The sequence below is a fragment of the Homo sapiens genome, chromosome 3, assembly GCF_000001405.40.
Source record: "Homo sapiens chromosome 3, GRCh38.p14 Primary Assembly".
NCBI classification, from domain to species: domain Eukaryota; kingdom Metazoa; phylum Chordata; class Mammalia; order Primates; family Hominidae; genus Homo; species Homo sapiens.
In genome coordinates this window covers 132,411,105-132,427,193 of record NC_000003.12, presented here as the reverse complement: position 1 = coordinate 132,427,193, position 16,089 = coordinate 132,411,105, and the positions used below count along the sequence as shown (strand labels likewise).

The 16,089-nt window shown below is 38.8% G+C and overlaps 1 protein-coding gene across 4 annotated transcripts in view, besides 5 other annotated features; it reads right to left on the bottom strand.

The window, feature by feature from the left end:
- The window catches only part of DNAJC13 (DnaJ heat shock protein family (Hsp40) member C13), a 121,531-nt gene extending 111,839 nt beyond the window's left edge, over window positions 1–9,692 (bottom strand). For 2 of the 4 annotated variants that reach the window (NM_001329126.2, NM_015268.4), the window contains exon 1: window positions 9,434–9,692. The gene's annotated coding sequence lies outside the window, so the exon portion shown is untranslated. Of the gene's footprint in view, window positions 1–5,476 lie in introns of all 4 variants that reach the window. The other 2 variants (XM_047447819.1, XM_047447820.1) reach the window with 1 other exon arrangement.
- Window positions 8,828–9,363: an enhancer, noted in NCBI's record as "H3K27ac hESC enhancer chr3:132136675-132137210 (GRCh37/hg19 assembly coordinates)". NCBI's record gives its function as "activates a minimal SCP1, AML or CMV promoter by ChIP-STARR-seq in primed H9 embryonic stem cells {active_cell/tissue: H9 hESC(primed)}" and the evidence as "EXISTENCE:reporter gene assay evidence [ECO:0000049][PMID:30033119]".
- Window positions 8,828–9,452: a biological region, named in NCBI's record as "H3K27ac hESC enhancer GRCh37_chr3:132136675-132137210".
- Window positions 9,303–9,452: an enhancer, noted in NCBI's record as "active region_20537". NCBI's record gives its function as "activates an Ori minimal core promoter by ATAC-STARR-seq in GM12878 lymphoblastoid cells {active_cell/tissue: GM12878}" and the evidence as "EXISTENCE:reporter gene assay evidence [ECO:0000049][PMID:35858748]".
- Window positions 9,483–9,622: a silencer, noted in NCBI's record as "silent region_14741". NCBI's record gives its function as "represses an Ori minimal core promoter by ATAC-STARR-seq in GM12878 lymphoblastoid cells {active_cell/tissue: GM12878}" and the evidence as "EXISTENCE:reporter gene assay evidence [ECO:0000049][PMID:35858748]".
- Window positions 9,903–10,002: a silencer, noted in NCBI's record as "silent region_14740". NCBI's record gives its function as "represses an Ori minimal core promoter by ATAC-STARR-seq in GM12878 lymphoblastoid cells {active_cell/tissue: GM12878}" and the evidence as "EXISTENCE:reporter gene assay evidence [ECO:0000049][PMID:35858748]".

The following is a 16,089-nucleotide window of genomic DNA, read 5'->3' as shown; positions in this document are numbered from 1 at the left end:
TGCCACTGCACTCGAGCCTGGGAGACAGAGTCAGACCCTGTCTCAAAAAAAAAAAAAAAATATATATATATATACACACACACACACGTGCACACACACACACACACACACACACACATATGTATATATAAACACCAAGATAATCAGGATAGATGAAATTTTTAAAAATCATCTTGTCAACTATAACCCAACACTTAAGCTTGTCTTTTATTTCAACTTTATTCCTACAAAATACTATTACAAGTCAATCTTATTTACTACATTTTTAATATTCCCCACTTAGGTATTTGAAATTTCAGTTGTTAGAACTGTTTCCTTACATGTATCCAACCTAATATTTTTAAATTTATGTTTGATGGCTACAAATTAACTATGGCTTGAGAAACTTTCAAGAAAAAAAAAACTTCACAAAATAAATTTAATCTGCAGTCAATATTTCCTCTGTACATTAATAAGCTCTAAAAGTGATTCAAAAAAATCATCACTTATAGGCAAAAACTCTTAAGCAACCATTGATTTCCACTATTTATGATGAAAAAAATCTGTAAAATTTCTAGTATCAGAAGCTCAAGTATCAAGCAGGTAATATCAGTAACAGTCAAATATAAGCACATGCTATCAACAACCACAAACTGTCCAACTAAAAAATGTAAACAGTTAAATGGGATCTTGAATGAGATCTTGGTAGCAGCTGTATCACTAGCATTTGCCATTCTGCCAGTTGTTTAGAGGCTATTCGAAATAGCAGGAATTTATCTGCTCAAACTAACGTCACTTAAATTTCATCTCCTTCATTCCTGCAATTGTGTTCCATATTTCAAATTCTCAAAGACCCATGATTCTTTCTGATGAGGAAAAATCAAATTTACATGCCTTTTGTAATTAAATTGCATTGAAAGCATCTCCAATTTTTGCGAGTCAGCTTCACTTGTTTTCATGCTATATCCTAAATTACACCACCAAAGAAACTTCTGTTTGTTCTTTTTATAGAACTGTCCTATGGGTTAAAAAGTCAAATTCAGGGCAACACAGGCATTTTGGCTAGATTCACCTCTCTCAATGAATACTACTGCATCATGCTTTCGAACAACACAATATTCTTGCATTCTCTAATTTATTACTGGCAGTAATACTGGCAAACCATTTAAGATCATTTATGGTTAAAATGAGAATGATCTTTTAGAAGACACATAATTTTGACAGAAAACCACAGGATTTGGGAGTCCAGTGAGAAGAAGCCTACATCAAGTTGACACTAAGAACAAAAGCAAGATGAAGGGACTCAACACCACAGACACTCAAGCCAATTACGGTCAAGCTATAAGCAAAAAAATTTACACACACAGCAAAATTAAGTATATACACATGGCTTGTGTTAAGCAAAAACACAAGCAGAACACTCATTTAACTAGGGATGAATGAATACACTTAGAAAAAAATACACTAGTGAAAGAAGGATTGGCATTAATCAGGCTAGTCACCTGTTTAAAGCACGTATTTAGCATCATCAACTGGAAGTAATTTTTACACAAATATGACAACTTGCAGAGAACAGGTAAGCTACTGATTTTCCCATTTTGAGTCTGTAAAATGCAAGAACGGAACTTACTTTCATTAGCTCTGCCCTCAATAACTAAAAATGTGAATTTGTTTTGAAATGCATAAAAAATAAGATGGATTGATGGAAAGATGGACAGATCTGTGATAAAGCAAGTACAGTAAAATGTTAATGTAAAAACCTTTAGGTGGGCATGTGGGTATCTAATGTAAAGTTCTTTCAACCTGGCTGTAGGTGAAAATGTTTACAATATGTTGGGTGAAAATTGTGGAGTTTGCCTTTTCTGATCAAACTCTCCTACAACAGAAACAATGCTACATTCCAAAACCACACTTAAAATGTAGCAGACATTCACATCATAGGAACTAATTTATGAACGTAATACTTCCTACAGCTATATCTTACCAAAAAGGGAGGGGTAGTAAGGAGAACCATGGAAAGACTAACCCTTTGAAAAAATAACTAATAAGAGTAATAGATAGAATATCTTATATTGGCTTCTTGAGGATCTAGGTTTGTTTGTAACTGGATTCAAAATCTGAGTAAATCATAGCACTAGATTAGTTTGGTTTCAAACAAATGGTAAAAAATATGAATGGCTAACAGAATGTTCATTTTTACCCAGATTAAATAGCTACAACTAAACTGTTTAGATAGAATGTGCTGTGTATGGGGGAAACTGCCATATGAACTTTAACCCTATTTTTAAATTTTAGCTTCATTTTAATATATGACTCAAGTACAGGTAAAAGCATTTTCTTCTAAATGAACAACAAATCAGTATGTGTAATATGTATGATACCAACAGGAATCTTAAAACAAACCATAAATACATCACAAAGATTTTAGTACCTACCATCTTAGCCTTCCTTAACTTACTGAAGAACCCGATACCTCCAGAGATAGATGTCGTTGAAGAATAAAAAAAGCCAGCGGTAATATCAAATTTCATCTGATAATCATATCTTCAAATAATTGCCCAGATATTTTAAAGTGAAGTGATTGTACTGTCACATCATAATCAACTTTTAACTAGTTTCACTACCATAGGGTAGCTGAAATAATATGAGATCTCCACCATTGTTTTTAAAAACTTGATTCCTTTCTATTACAAACTGAGTATATATTAATGAAATACAGGGCAAGAAAAATTCAAAAGCAACCCCTAAATCTGAAGAAACACTTAATGGGAGGAGGGGACAAGCATACTTACCATAGCAGTTACTTTTTTTGACCTCTTCTATTCAACAGTATAAATCAAGTATTGAAAAGAGACCTGTCTCTTCTATTTCTATCACATGTATGCTCATTTCATCTGAGGGGAATAATTTGTATTTCTGACAAAACAGAAGTTTATCTGTTGTTAAAAAAATTCAAATTTTCTGTGAAAGATGTATTACTATGACCCTTCCCTTTCCAAAGCTTAAAAATGCCTTAAAATACTCACCTGAAAGCTTTCTTTCCAGAAACATGTTCACTTAAGCAATGCTTTGAAATCATTGCTATTGATCATTTACATATTTTTAGTTTATACACATTATTGTAACTTTATAGACCTAATTTCTATTTCATTTTATCTTTGAAGCATAACCTGGCTTATGCAAGAACAAACTATACTATTTCTGTAAGGTCTTCAGCTTATCAACTTATTAAGCTTATCAGCTTATTAAGGCACTTAATAATCATGCTCTACTATGGTAAACAGGCCCTGAAATGGGCAAAAGAAATTTTTAGCAGCCATATTTTAACTTGTTGCTGTTTTTCCTATCATTACAGTAAATGCATAATGCGGGACTAAATTTCCTAAGCTTTTAACACATACAACTTGAAGACAGTTTTACAGAAAGCATCCTGAAAACCCAAACACTGTTCTTTTTATACTATTAAAAGACAAAAGTTTAATTTGCTACAATTTCCCCTTCACTCAATACAAAATAGCAAAAACATACATTTCTAGTTTAGTTCTGAAATATCCCTATTATTCCTACCTCTTCTGTGGCGCTTTACAGTTTATAGAACACTACCAAATTATCTTAAAAAAGCAAAGTTTCACTTTTAAAATTAAGCCCATTAGTGCTAAGATTTGGGGGGAAAATGGCTTATCTGCTCTAAGATTTGATAAACATTCAAAATACATTCTGTAGCTTGACTAGAAGTTTGAGGAGAGAAACCCCATAGCCTTAGATGACTAAGGAATACAATAAAAGTGAGAACACCATGTATAAGCGTTTAAATGTATTACAGAATACATGAAATATTAGAGAACATCTCCTCCATTCATAACCTCACCAACCCTTCCATTAAGTTGTGGCAACTAGAGCTGGCAAAAATCAAAGCGTCGAAATAATTTTTTTTAAGAGACAGGGTCTTCCTTTGTCACCCAGACTGAAACGCAGCAACACAATCATAGCTCACTGTAATCTCAGTCTCCTGGGTTCAAGCAATCCTCCTGCCTCAGCCTCCCGAGCACACGTCACCACAGCCAGCTAGTTATTTCATTTTTTGATGAGACGGGGTTGCTCAAGCTAGGTTGGAGCTCCTGGCCTCGAGTGATCCTCCCGCCTCAGCCTTCCAAGTGCTGGGATTACACGTGTGATTATTGTGCACCCAGCTAAAATAATTCTGGATTGCTTTAGGGGTTTTGTTTTCTATCTGATAATCAAAATATCAAACTCTTATTAATCCATTGCAAAGAGATATTACCACTGGGCATGTGCTAAATATGTGACTAGGCAGTGTTCTTCTAAGGGCAACTTGAGTGCTTAAACTGTAAAATTCCACTGACTTTAAAGCTCACTCTTTTTCACAAGTAGTCCATGAAAGTACAAGTAAAACTCCCATATGTCGACTATTGAATAAAGAGCATCTGAAAAGAATTACTAGCAAGCTATATGGTTTTATTGACTGAACCACACCTAAATGTACCTTTGCACAGGTAACTATCTTAAATTAGCAAAGATGATCATAACCATGTTGGTTTAAACTATTTGTTACAAAGAAATCTAACTCAGTTACTCTCAAAGGAGTTCCTATGATTAAGAATCACTCCACATAACAAGAAGTGTTATAAATTGGCATATGCTGGGTATGTGAACACTGCTGAAACAGAAAAAATATGTTGAAAACCACTGATTAAAATTTTGAACTAAAGTAATGGTTGGGCTAGGATGCCATCCCATCTGAGGCACTATGACTGGGAGCACTACTAGCATTTAGTGGATGAGACTAGATATTCAACATACATTACAGTCCCAAAGATAAGTACCATCCACACCATACGACTTTCAAGTGTCCAAGTGAGCCAGGTATGGTGGCTCACACCTGTAATCCCAGCATTCTGAGAGGCTGAGGTGGGAGGATTGCTTGAGCTCAGGAGTTTGAGACTAGCCTGGGCAACATAGTGAGACCTCGTCTCTACTAAAAATAATAATAATAAAAAAAAGTTAGCTGGGCATGGCGTGCCTATGGCTCCAGATACTAAGGAGGCTAAGGTGGGAGGATCGCTTGAGCCCAGGAGATCAGGGCTACAGTGAGCTATGATCGTGTCACTGCATTCCAGCCTGGGCAACAGAGTGAGGTCTGAAAAAAGAAAAAAAAAAAGGAAAAAGAAAAAAGTCCAGAAGTCCAAATGCTTAGTTGGTTAGTCATGTAGGCAAAAACCTATTTATAATGAATGAATCCCAGACTCTAATTGTTTTATATATAACTCACCAAGTACATTTTGCAGGGTTTAATATACAGAGATTTTTCCAGGAATGTGGCTGCAATGTAAATTAAGAGATTATACTTTATTAACCCTGTTCTTTTCTGACAATGCTAATAATCTCAATTGTGGTATTTGAGTCACCAATGTGACAAATCTGTAGACATCAACATTTCTGTCAAAAATCAAAATGGGCCAGGCATGGTGGCTCACACCTGTAATCCCAGCACTTTGGGAGGCCTGGGTGGGTGGATCACTTGAGGTCAGGAGTTCGAGACCAGCCTGGGCAACATGGTGAAACTCTGTCTCCTAAAAATACAGAAAAAAAAAAAAATCAGCCCAGCATGGTGGCAAGCGCCTGTAGTCCCAGCTACTCAGGAGGCTGAGGCAGAGGTTGCAGTGAGCCAAGATCGTGCCACTGCACTCCAGCCTGGGTGACAGAGCAAGATTGTCTCTCACACACACAAAAAAAATCTCAAAATGATTCCATGTAAAGATACAAGCCTCTGACACGTCCTTTGTGTATTTTGGTATAATCATACTTAACTATTTACATATTGAAATGCATATAGTCAATTCTGCTATAATGCTTTCTTGATCATGTGAATTTTAACAGGATTGGTGTATTACTGAACAATTTGAGCATAATGAAAATGTCACATTTGCTTATAGTGATTCTGTCCCAACACTAAGTGAACGCAGAAAATTGTACCCAACTGAGTCATGCAGGAATTCACAAAATACACACACACACTTCAGGTGGTCAATGAACCACATACATTCACATATATGTTACTAATTTTCCACTCCATCTTATAACTTTTTTTCCTTCTACTACTTCACAGTAATTCAGAAACTATAACTCCATCCAATGCTCACTGCATTGTTTGCTCAAACTTTTTCAAGGCAAAATGTCATTATTATAGTATTTAACATGTACAAAACAGTTCTTTTTAAGCTCCTATCTTTTTAAAAAATGTATAATGATGACTGCTCTTTCTCTTGGGAGTTTTTTTCATGGGCCTCATAATTTTTGGTTAAAAGCTGGACATGTTGTGTAGGAGTAGAGATTGAGGTAATTTTTATGACTGGAAATGAGCACGCCTGTTCTTTGTGAGGCCTTTGGTGAAGGGTTTGTGTTAATCTGGTTAGGAGTTGGACTTAGTTTATGATTTGTTTTTGCCATAGTTATCCTCAGTGTATTACAGCCTTCATGAATCTGCAGAACAGTTTGTCTCTCTGGTGGGCGATGGTTTACTAGAGCAATGCCTGTTTGATTCTTTGTGTTGTGCCTCTTTGCATAATCTTGTTCCTTTCCTAGTAGTATTTTGTGGGTTACTTGTTACTGAAAGCTTCTTAGCTTGGTGGCAGGGGGTTGGGGGTGGGGGATACAGTCTGATGTTCTGATTAAGTCTAAGTCAAACACTGTGTTCCTGAATCTCAGGAGGGCAGCACTCTCGGTTCTGTTGACCACTCCCGACTGCAGTTTTGGGCTCAGGGCCCCTCCTCCAGGCATAAGATTCTCTCCCACTTCTCATCTACCCCCTGAATGTTCACCAATGGGGCCAACAGAGATACCCTTCTCCCCAGAGATTAAAGCTTTTTTCCATAGAAGAGGCAGAGGGGAAGAATCACAGCAGTTTCTTGACCCTCTTAAAAGTTCTGTTGCTGTTCCTCTCCCTCTCAATCTGCACAGCAGACTCACCCAGGGTTCTTTCCAGTCTTTTCTAGTAGACCCAGGGAGGTTTGTGGATAAGAGTTTGCAAGATTGTGCATTCAGCTTTCATCATGCTTTTTGTCCAGTTGTGTCTGAAGACGGTAAACAGAAATTGACATCTACTCTCTGTAAGCACTGTCTCTCAAATTTTCAGCCAGTGGTTTTGCTCTGTGGACTCAGCTCTTTAATAGATTTCAAAAAAGTCATGAATTTGTAGTGTAGGTCTTTTTTTGTTGCAGAAGTGAGAGCAAAGCTTCTTTTTTTGTCTCAGGGCCAAAGCCAGAGGTAGTTACATTATTTATAAACTAAAGATAGCAAAGAAGGTGTTACTAATTATTTTTTATAAAAAGGGAGCCTTTATTGGGTCTAATAAAGTTGAGAAACACTGACTCAAGGAACTCTTTCAAAATATTAATAACTCCCCTTTAACTACTGCCATGTTTTACAGTGAACATTTAGGCCAAAACCTATTTGTAGCAACCAAATTTGTGCTGCAGTTTATCTGCACAGCCTTGTTTCAATTACTAATTTAAAGTACCTCAATCAGAAGCAGGGGAAAGGTATGTGTAGCAGAAACCTCATATTCACCTGTGTAAACAGAACTGGTTGAGGAATGAAGCCAAATTAGTTAAAACACATCTTTTCAATTTCAACCCTAATTTGGGACCTATTGAGAACCGGACTCCACTATCAACCTTTTAACAAATTTAATAAAGCCAGTATTGTTACAGTCCACCTGGGCAAGGCAACCATCTTCTATTTATTTGTGGATAAAGTTAAATTATTCCAAACAATTCATTCACTTATTAATATTTTATTTTTTAGCTTAAGTATTTTGTTTACAACTAAGCTTGTTAACAATATATAACATTAATATATTTTAGACTATTTATTACTACCACTTTAGAAAAAGAGGAATATTCATTGCCTCTCAGTGGAATACAAATGCTGATATTTTCCATGAACTGAACTCTAGCCTTAAGGTTCTTTACATTCTTATTTCTTAATAATCCTCTGACTCCTCTTTTCCTCCCTTAATATGTTCTACTTCCTGTTTTCAAACAAGGAGTATAATGTAATAATTTCTACACAAGGACGTGTGTTGCCTGAATGCATTGTGATACTAACAGCACAAGCCAAGTCTGAGATATAGTAGCTTAAAAAGCGTTTCACATTACACAAAATGTGAACAAGGTTTTACGTTATATGATAGATAAGCCAATAAAGTACTTTCCAAAAATCAAAGAACTGTGTTCTGGATACCGAATTTCTGACAAGTGGTTTCTATAAATTTATTTTTTTAAGGCAAATTCTGTTTCATACTCCCATAAACTCAAAGTACTGGTAATATATTATAAAACCTTATCACTGTAATTTTCCCTGCAGGCAGTAGTTTCAAACCTAGAAACCTATCAAGTCCATAAACTGAGAAAGAAAATATAGTAAGAAAGAATTACTGGGGGCAGGTTCTGAACTTCTACTTTTTTCCCCAAGACACTGTATTACAAAAGGCTCAACATAACTGTACACTATAAAGCCCTTCATAGAGGACGCAACAGCATCAGGTACAGAACCTCCTTTTTGAGGGAAATCAGAATAACGTAAAAGGGAAAAGCAGAGGGAAAATGAGAAATAATTACTTTGGGAGACCACCGCCACATTAGGGTGAAATCTTTACTTTTTTCCCCCCTCTAAGCAACGGACACAGGAAACAATCTTAAGACAAACGTGGTTAACGGAACACGCTACAAAAGGAGAAAATTTAAGGGAAGGCACTCTTAAACATAGTTAAGTATCAAGTGATTAACAGCCACTTCACTGAGCGTCTAAGTCCTACTTTACCCACTCCAAAGGCCACATTCAAAGATAAAATCACAGCAGCGGAGGAAAGGCCACGTGAATAAGCTGCCTTGCAGGAAGGAAAAGCCTTAGGGGAGAAAATGATTTTAGAAAAAGTACTGGAGAACAGACGACGCGGATGCTCATTTCCTAACAAAACGAAACAAAGCAAAGAAAGTCAGTCTGCAGGACTTGTTCGGAAGGAGGGTCGCTGACCCAAGGAAACAAGAGTTGCCGGCATCCAGCAGGAAGGGTGCTCAGACTAGGAGACTGGAAGGGAATCCCGAGGGCGGAACCCACAAGGGAATGAAGAGCCTGTGGGGTAAGGATATGTTAAGGCGAGTGGAGGAGCGTACTAGGTATAAAACAAGCAAAAAAAAGGGGTGGGGCTGGACAGGGCAGCGCCCTGAGCTAATGTCACTCAAAGCCGGGGGGGCGTCCAACGAAAGGAACCAGACCAGCAGCCTGGGGGAAGGGTAATCTGCTTCCTTAGCAGCTGCAGGCTGCAGCAGCCAAGACCACCCCGTTTTCCCTGCCCTGAGCCCCACAAAGTCCCCACGGCGTGGGAAGGGAGTAAGGCAGAGCCCCAGAGCCCAGTGCCCGGAGTCGGCTTTACCTTCGCGGGAGGCTGGAGAGGCTCCAGCCCTAGCTCCTCCCGCCGCCGGCTCAGCTTCCAGAGTGGGATGAGGCGCCCTCCGGCCTCCTCACCCTCACCACTTCCCCTTTCCCCCGCCGGGGCCCTGCAGCTCCGCTGCCGCGGGTTCCTGGTGCCGCCGCGGCGCTGCCTCCCCGCCCCCTCCGCCTCCTCCCTCTGCCTCTCAGAGTTTCACTCTGGAGGCCGCCATCTTCGCTCAGGCTTTGAGCGAGCGCGCTCTAATACGCCTGCGTCGCCACCGCCCAGGCTGTCACGAGACCCAGTCAGCTGATTTCAACTCTTCCGTCTTCTGCCCCGCCCTCCCCGTCCTCCCCGTCCCGATCGTTCTTTCCCTGAAATTCTGCTTTCCTCCGGCCAGCCCCCAGCAGCTACACATGCGCAGAGTAACGACACCGGCCGTGGGATTTGGATTCCACGCAGCGCGTCAGGGGGCTGGCGCCTCGGTGGGTGCTGAAAAGGACACGCCCCTGGGCGCGCGCGGGTGCCCATGACCACGCCCCTCCGGCGGGTGCCCATGACCACGCCCCTCCGGCGTGTGCCTTAGGGCCGCGCCCCTCCGCTTATGTCCTGCGGAGAGTAGGGTCGCAACCCGGTACTTAAGCTTTAAGTCCGAGGAAATCTTGTTTTAAATCACCTCTTTTTAGCTCTTGCCGTCAAGTGCCATGGAGCATCTGCGAGGCAGTCTGAAGCCTCAGCCTATCTCCTGGTTTGGCTGGATTGGGAGCCAGCAGGTTCATTTACTATTGAGACGTCCTGAACGACAGCAGAGCAGGGTTTAAGTTATGGATGCTCTGGAAGGTCTCAGAGACCAAATTCTCAGAGACGCCTAAGGCATTTGCAGGTGGGAATGCTGGAAAGATAGTTCTGGTAGCCCCATTTATTGTGTCCGGATCAAGTGTTTAGAAGTTTACTTAAAGCTGCTTAATCTTCAACTCTCTGAGATACGAATCATCCTCGTTTTGCAGATAAGTTGAGGCCCAGCCTCAGAGTAGTGGATTTCATGTTTGCACCCAAGTAATTTGAACCCAGAACCTGTGCCCTCTAGATAACCATCTTCCTGAACCTCACCTGAGAGGGAAGTCAGGGCAGTGAAAAGAGGGGATATTGGGACTAAAGGATTCGGCTAGAAATTATGTGTTATCTGTGGGCAATGGTTTAAATAAGAAAGGTCAATGTCCACTCCCAGATCTGAGCCGTAAAGACCACAGTTTAAAAATTAGTGATTAAAAAAAAAATAGTGATTCTGCTGCAGACTTCAGAGTAGAGGCAGTGTAGGGTGACCTGCATGGATACATTATTGTATAAGGGTTAAAGGTCTCTGATAAGGAGTTGAATACTCATTCTTCATGGCAGTCCTGAAATTGTGATTTCTTGGCGTCCCCTTCAGCAAGTTGGCTCATTTTATAGACAGCGATTGCAGGATGAAAAAATGTGGAAAAATGGTTTTTACAGACTTTACCTCTTGATTCTATTAACCCTTTGCCCTACCTTAGGGCGGAAAAAGACTATTTGTGTTTATCCTTAGACTTTTCTGTAATGCAGCAGTAAGATAAGGTGCATGTAAGGGAAGGTACTAGGAATAGCTGGGTGTGGGAAGACAGAACCCGAAATAGAGTAGGAAGGGAGGAGGAGGAAAAAGAAACAGGAGGGCTGTGTTAAGGGGCCTTATTGGCTTATCCCATGGAAACAGAAACGTGTTTATGTGGTTACAAAGCCTTCCAGTAATCCCAAAAGTAAATGTGGGGTATATTATTTCGATTTTAGAGAAGCAGCAGACCCAGAGAGTCCAGGAGACTTGCTAAAGGTGACCTAACTCCTAAAGGTTGAGCCAAGATTAAGACACAGGGCCTGCCTGTAACATCAAGGCCAGTGAACTGTTCAACCTCCACACTGCCTCTCTGTTCAATATTTGAGACCAATAAAATCAATTCTCGTGTTGAGAGGAGCCTTAGGCATCATGAATTGTCCCCATCCTCTGTAGTGCAAAATTGCCTCACAAGACATCTTTTTCCATTGCATTTTTATAAGCCATTTTCCTTGTATTCAGCCAACTTGCACTCTCTTCTATGAGTAGTTATTTTGTCTTTGTTTCTTGCTCTTTTCTTCTTGTATGTGACATTCATTTAAGCACTTATCAGTACAGCTTATCACCCTTTCCCACTCCCTCTCCCGTGCATATCCTTCTAACTACCCCTGCTACAGATACTCATTTTAAGAAACCATATTCAAAGTACTTTCAACCATTGTTCACAAGATGTAGTTTCAAGCCTTTTCACAACCACTGGTTGCTTTTAATTGGATCCATACAATTGGATCCTTCTTAAAATGCCACAACAAAATACAAGAGTCAGGGAGAGTAGGACTTGTCTCTTCTTTCCCTATTAGGTTAAATCAGTTGGATCCTTTCCCCACCCAACTCTTTTTTAAGAGTGACAAATGCACACTTCTTTTTCTGGATTTGTCTTTTTATTCATAATTAAAGTTTGCACTAGCGTTTCTGACACTTTCATAGTGCAGATGTATCAAATTTACAATCTAAATTATGTGATGTACACTTAAAATATTTCACAGCTTTTTAAAAAATACATTTCACAGCCTTTTAGGCACCAATAGCCTTTATCAGTCTCCAAAGTTAGCATACAAGGCTGGAGTGATCTAAGACTTTAGAGAGCCCACAAGAATGTCAAACACTTGCTTATCTAATTCCCATTGCTGCTAAATTGACCTTCCTAATTATATCAATGCCCAGATCCAAAGTAAATCCTTAAGAACTCATACCACTCAACAATGCTTGAACTATGTTTTCAGTACAGTAGCCACTAGCCCTATGTGGCTACTGAACACAGAATAAAAATTAAAATTGTTACAAAAAAATGTAAAATGTTGCATTAGCAATTTTTATATTGATTACACGTGTTAAAAGAAAAAAATATTTAGGCCGGGCACGGTGGCTCACGCCTGTAGTCCCAGCACTTTGGGAGGCTGAGGCGGGTGGATCACCTGAGGTCAGGAGTTTGAGACCAGCTTGGCCAACATGATGAAACCCCGTCTCTACTAAATATAAAAAAATTAGGCGGGCCTGGTGGTGCATACCTGTAATCCCAGCTATTCGGGATGCTGAGGCAGGAGAATCACTTGAACCTGGGAGGGGGAGGTTGCAGTGAGCCGAGATGGTGCCACTGCACTCCAGCCTGGGCAACAAGAGTGAAACTCTCAAAAAAAAAAAAAGTATTATTTAATGATACTTGTTAAAGCTTGGTAATAGGCTGAGCATGATGGCTGACACCTGTAATCCCAAGGCTTTGGGAGGCCAAGTCAGGAGGATCACTTGAGGCCAGGAGTTTGAGACCAGCCTATGCAATGTAGTGGGACCCCATTGCTACAAAATAATAAAAATAAAAGCATTATCTGGGCATGGGGGCATGCCCCTGTAGTGCTAGTTACTCAGGAGGCTGAGGTGAGAGGATCTCTTGAGCCCAGGAGTTCGAGGTTACAGTGAGCTATAATTGTGCCACTGCACTCCTGCCTGGGCAGCAGAGAAAGACCCTGTACCCCCTGCTCCCCACAAAAAAGATTTTATTCAGTTTATTTACGATCATTACAATAGGTACAGGAGCCACTGCAACAGGGGCTTGCAGTAAGGGAGAGAGACGGGGCTCAGGTCGGAAAACGACACGGGCAAGTATGCATTTATCTCCAAGGAACAGTGTGTGGGGGTCAGTGGATGGAAAATTACTAAGAGAAAACATCAGGGGTGAGCGGGGATCCTGGCTAAACCTACGTAACAGGATTCTTGCTAAAGACAGGCCAGAGTGATTAGACATCTTCTGGGGGAAGGTGAAAGATGAGGAATCTGATCACATATCGAGGGAATTTTGGCTAAACTGACTTAGCCAGGTTCTTTTGCAGACTAGACTTTTCAAGGAAGCACACAGAGGGGCCTAAGGAAAGGTTCAGAAGCCTGATTAAAATTTGGCTGAGCAAAGACTCTTTGTCACATGTGGAAATGATAATATTATGGCTGTATATTTGGTTAAATAAAATGTTATTAAAATTAATTTCACTTGTTTCTTTTAAGGAATGTAGCTACTAGTAAATGTAAAATTAAATATATGGCTCCCATTGTATTTCTCTTGGACAATACTGCTATTAGAAAATCTTGTGCAAGCAAACAGTAAGTGTCAGAAAACAACTACGTCGAGTTGGTGAGCTTGAAGCTTCCACAGAATCTTCTACTGGACTTCATTTTAATTTGTTATGTGATTGGTTGGTTGTTTGTCTTTAGTGGTTTTTCTCAAGATTTATCTGGCCACACGTATTTAGTTTTCTGTGTTTCTCTATACTGTAATTCAAATAATTGAAATTATTTACAACATATGACAAATTATGACATGAGAATTTCTTGACATATATACATATGTATCTGTATATATATATAGGATCCACAATTTTTTTTTTTTGTAACTGATAGCCTGGCTTCCCCAGCTCACTTAATCCTACCCCAGGAAGTCTAGTTTTATTATTAATGTGAATTAAAATATCTTTTTAAATAGTATAATGATGTTCATATATAAAGGATTTTGAATTTATAATATTTTATTAACAAAAACATGCTTTCATTTAATTACAGGAAATTATCTAGATTTGATTATATTTTCAAAGATGGATGAGGAGGGAAAAGAAAATAACTTATTCTGTGGTCTAACAATTTTAAACTATTATTGAAATTTTAACTGGTTAAGAAAAAGGCCTGTGTTCTTTTTCCTTATTAAATTTTACCACAACTGCTCTTTTACAATATATACACTGCTGAGGGTTTTCTAATTCAGGTGTTCTTACTAATTAATTCAAATACTTCTTGTATTATCAGATTTGAGAAAACTCAAGAACCTTATGTGGTTTTTTCCATAAAGGGTTTTGAAGTGAACAAGATTTCCAATCTGCTATGAAATTATTATATTCAGACATTTTTAGTCATCAGCACTTGAAGGAAATATAATGTAGTTTAAAAAACTCACAGGCAAGTTCGTTATCCTCTTTGAGTCTTAGTTCCCTCTTCTGTAAACTTCAGATATTGATACCTACCTTGAGAGACATTTGCAGGAGTTACATAACTTATGTAGAGCACTTCATTACTGAGCACACACTATAGTTAATATCAGGGTCTCCAGCTTGTTTATGTAATCCTTGTCTTTGAGTTTTTAAATGAAACAGGTTTGCTGTAGTTCTTATCATCAGAGGACTAACCAGATGAAGATAATACAGATAATAACTTATATAGAGCAGTTCATTACTGAGCACACACTATAGTTAATATCAGGGTCTCCAGCTTCTTTATGTAATCCTTGTCCTTGCGTTTTTAAATGAAACAGGTTTGCTGTAGTTATCATCAGAGGACTAACCAGATGCTAATAATACAGAATGTCAGATAAGCAGATATTCTGTATTATTAGCAGAATGGGGAAAGTTCAAGTGTTCATTCTTGACAACCATATTTGAATACTCCTATCATGAGACATCATTAAATAGTTCATTTTATTTATTATGGAGAACACAGAGTTGACTTGTTCAATTCATCTGTGAATGTTAACAATGCAAAAAAGTCTTACATGCATGGAATTTCGACAGTCACAATATATTTTAAAAATGGTGATCCAAAACTTGACCATGAGGAAGTTCTTAGAATGACAATGACTCATTCACGCCTAAATCAAGGTGAGTTAATCAGGTGCAACAAAAGCTTTTTTTTCCCACTAATTTTGTTAAAGATCATTGCAACCACATAGAAGGAAAGGATATCTATTCATTAATCTTGGATAATAACTTATTCATATTATGCCTATCTGAGAACATAAAACTTCATTACCCAAATTATTGCTGGCTTTGAGCATATAAAGATGATATGACTGTTATTTCCATGTAAAACTTAATTTTGTCAATGAAAAGATGATTTTTTTTTCTTTTTGTGAGCAACAGTAAATGAGGTGGCAGCCACCTACTTAGCGTAAAGGAAAATAAAACATAAAAGAAGTAGTATTTCAAGCTCAACTAATTAGCTTGTAAAGTTATTGGTTCTCAAATCTATACAGTGAAGTCTGAGAAAAAAAAAAGTAAATCAATGTAAACCAAAATAAAAAGCACATACTAACAAAGCCAATTTGAAAAAAATCTTACTAATATAGAAGAAACTCACATATACTAGTCACTGCAAATGTTAAAGTTACTTTGGGTCTATTCCTAATCTGCCTGTCAGACAAACTTTGAGAGTTGAAGGATTATACATCATACTACTATAGAGACACATGCTCACATATGTTTATTGCAGCACTATTTACAATAGGAAAGACCTGGAACCAACCCAAATGCCCATCAATGATAGACTGGATAAAGAAAATGTGGCACATATATACCATGGAATACTATGCAGCCACAACAAAGAATGAGTTCATGTCCTTTGCAGGGACATGGATGAAGCTGGAAACCATCATCCTCAGAAAACTAACACAGGAACAGAAAACCAAACACCGCATGTTCACACTCATAAGTGTGAGTTGAAAAATGAGAACACATAGACACGGAGGGGAACATCACCCACTGGGGCCTGTTGTGGGGTCGGG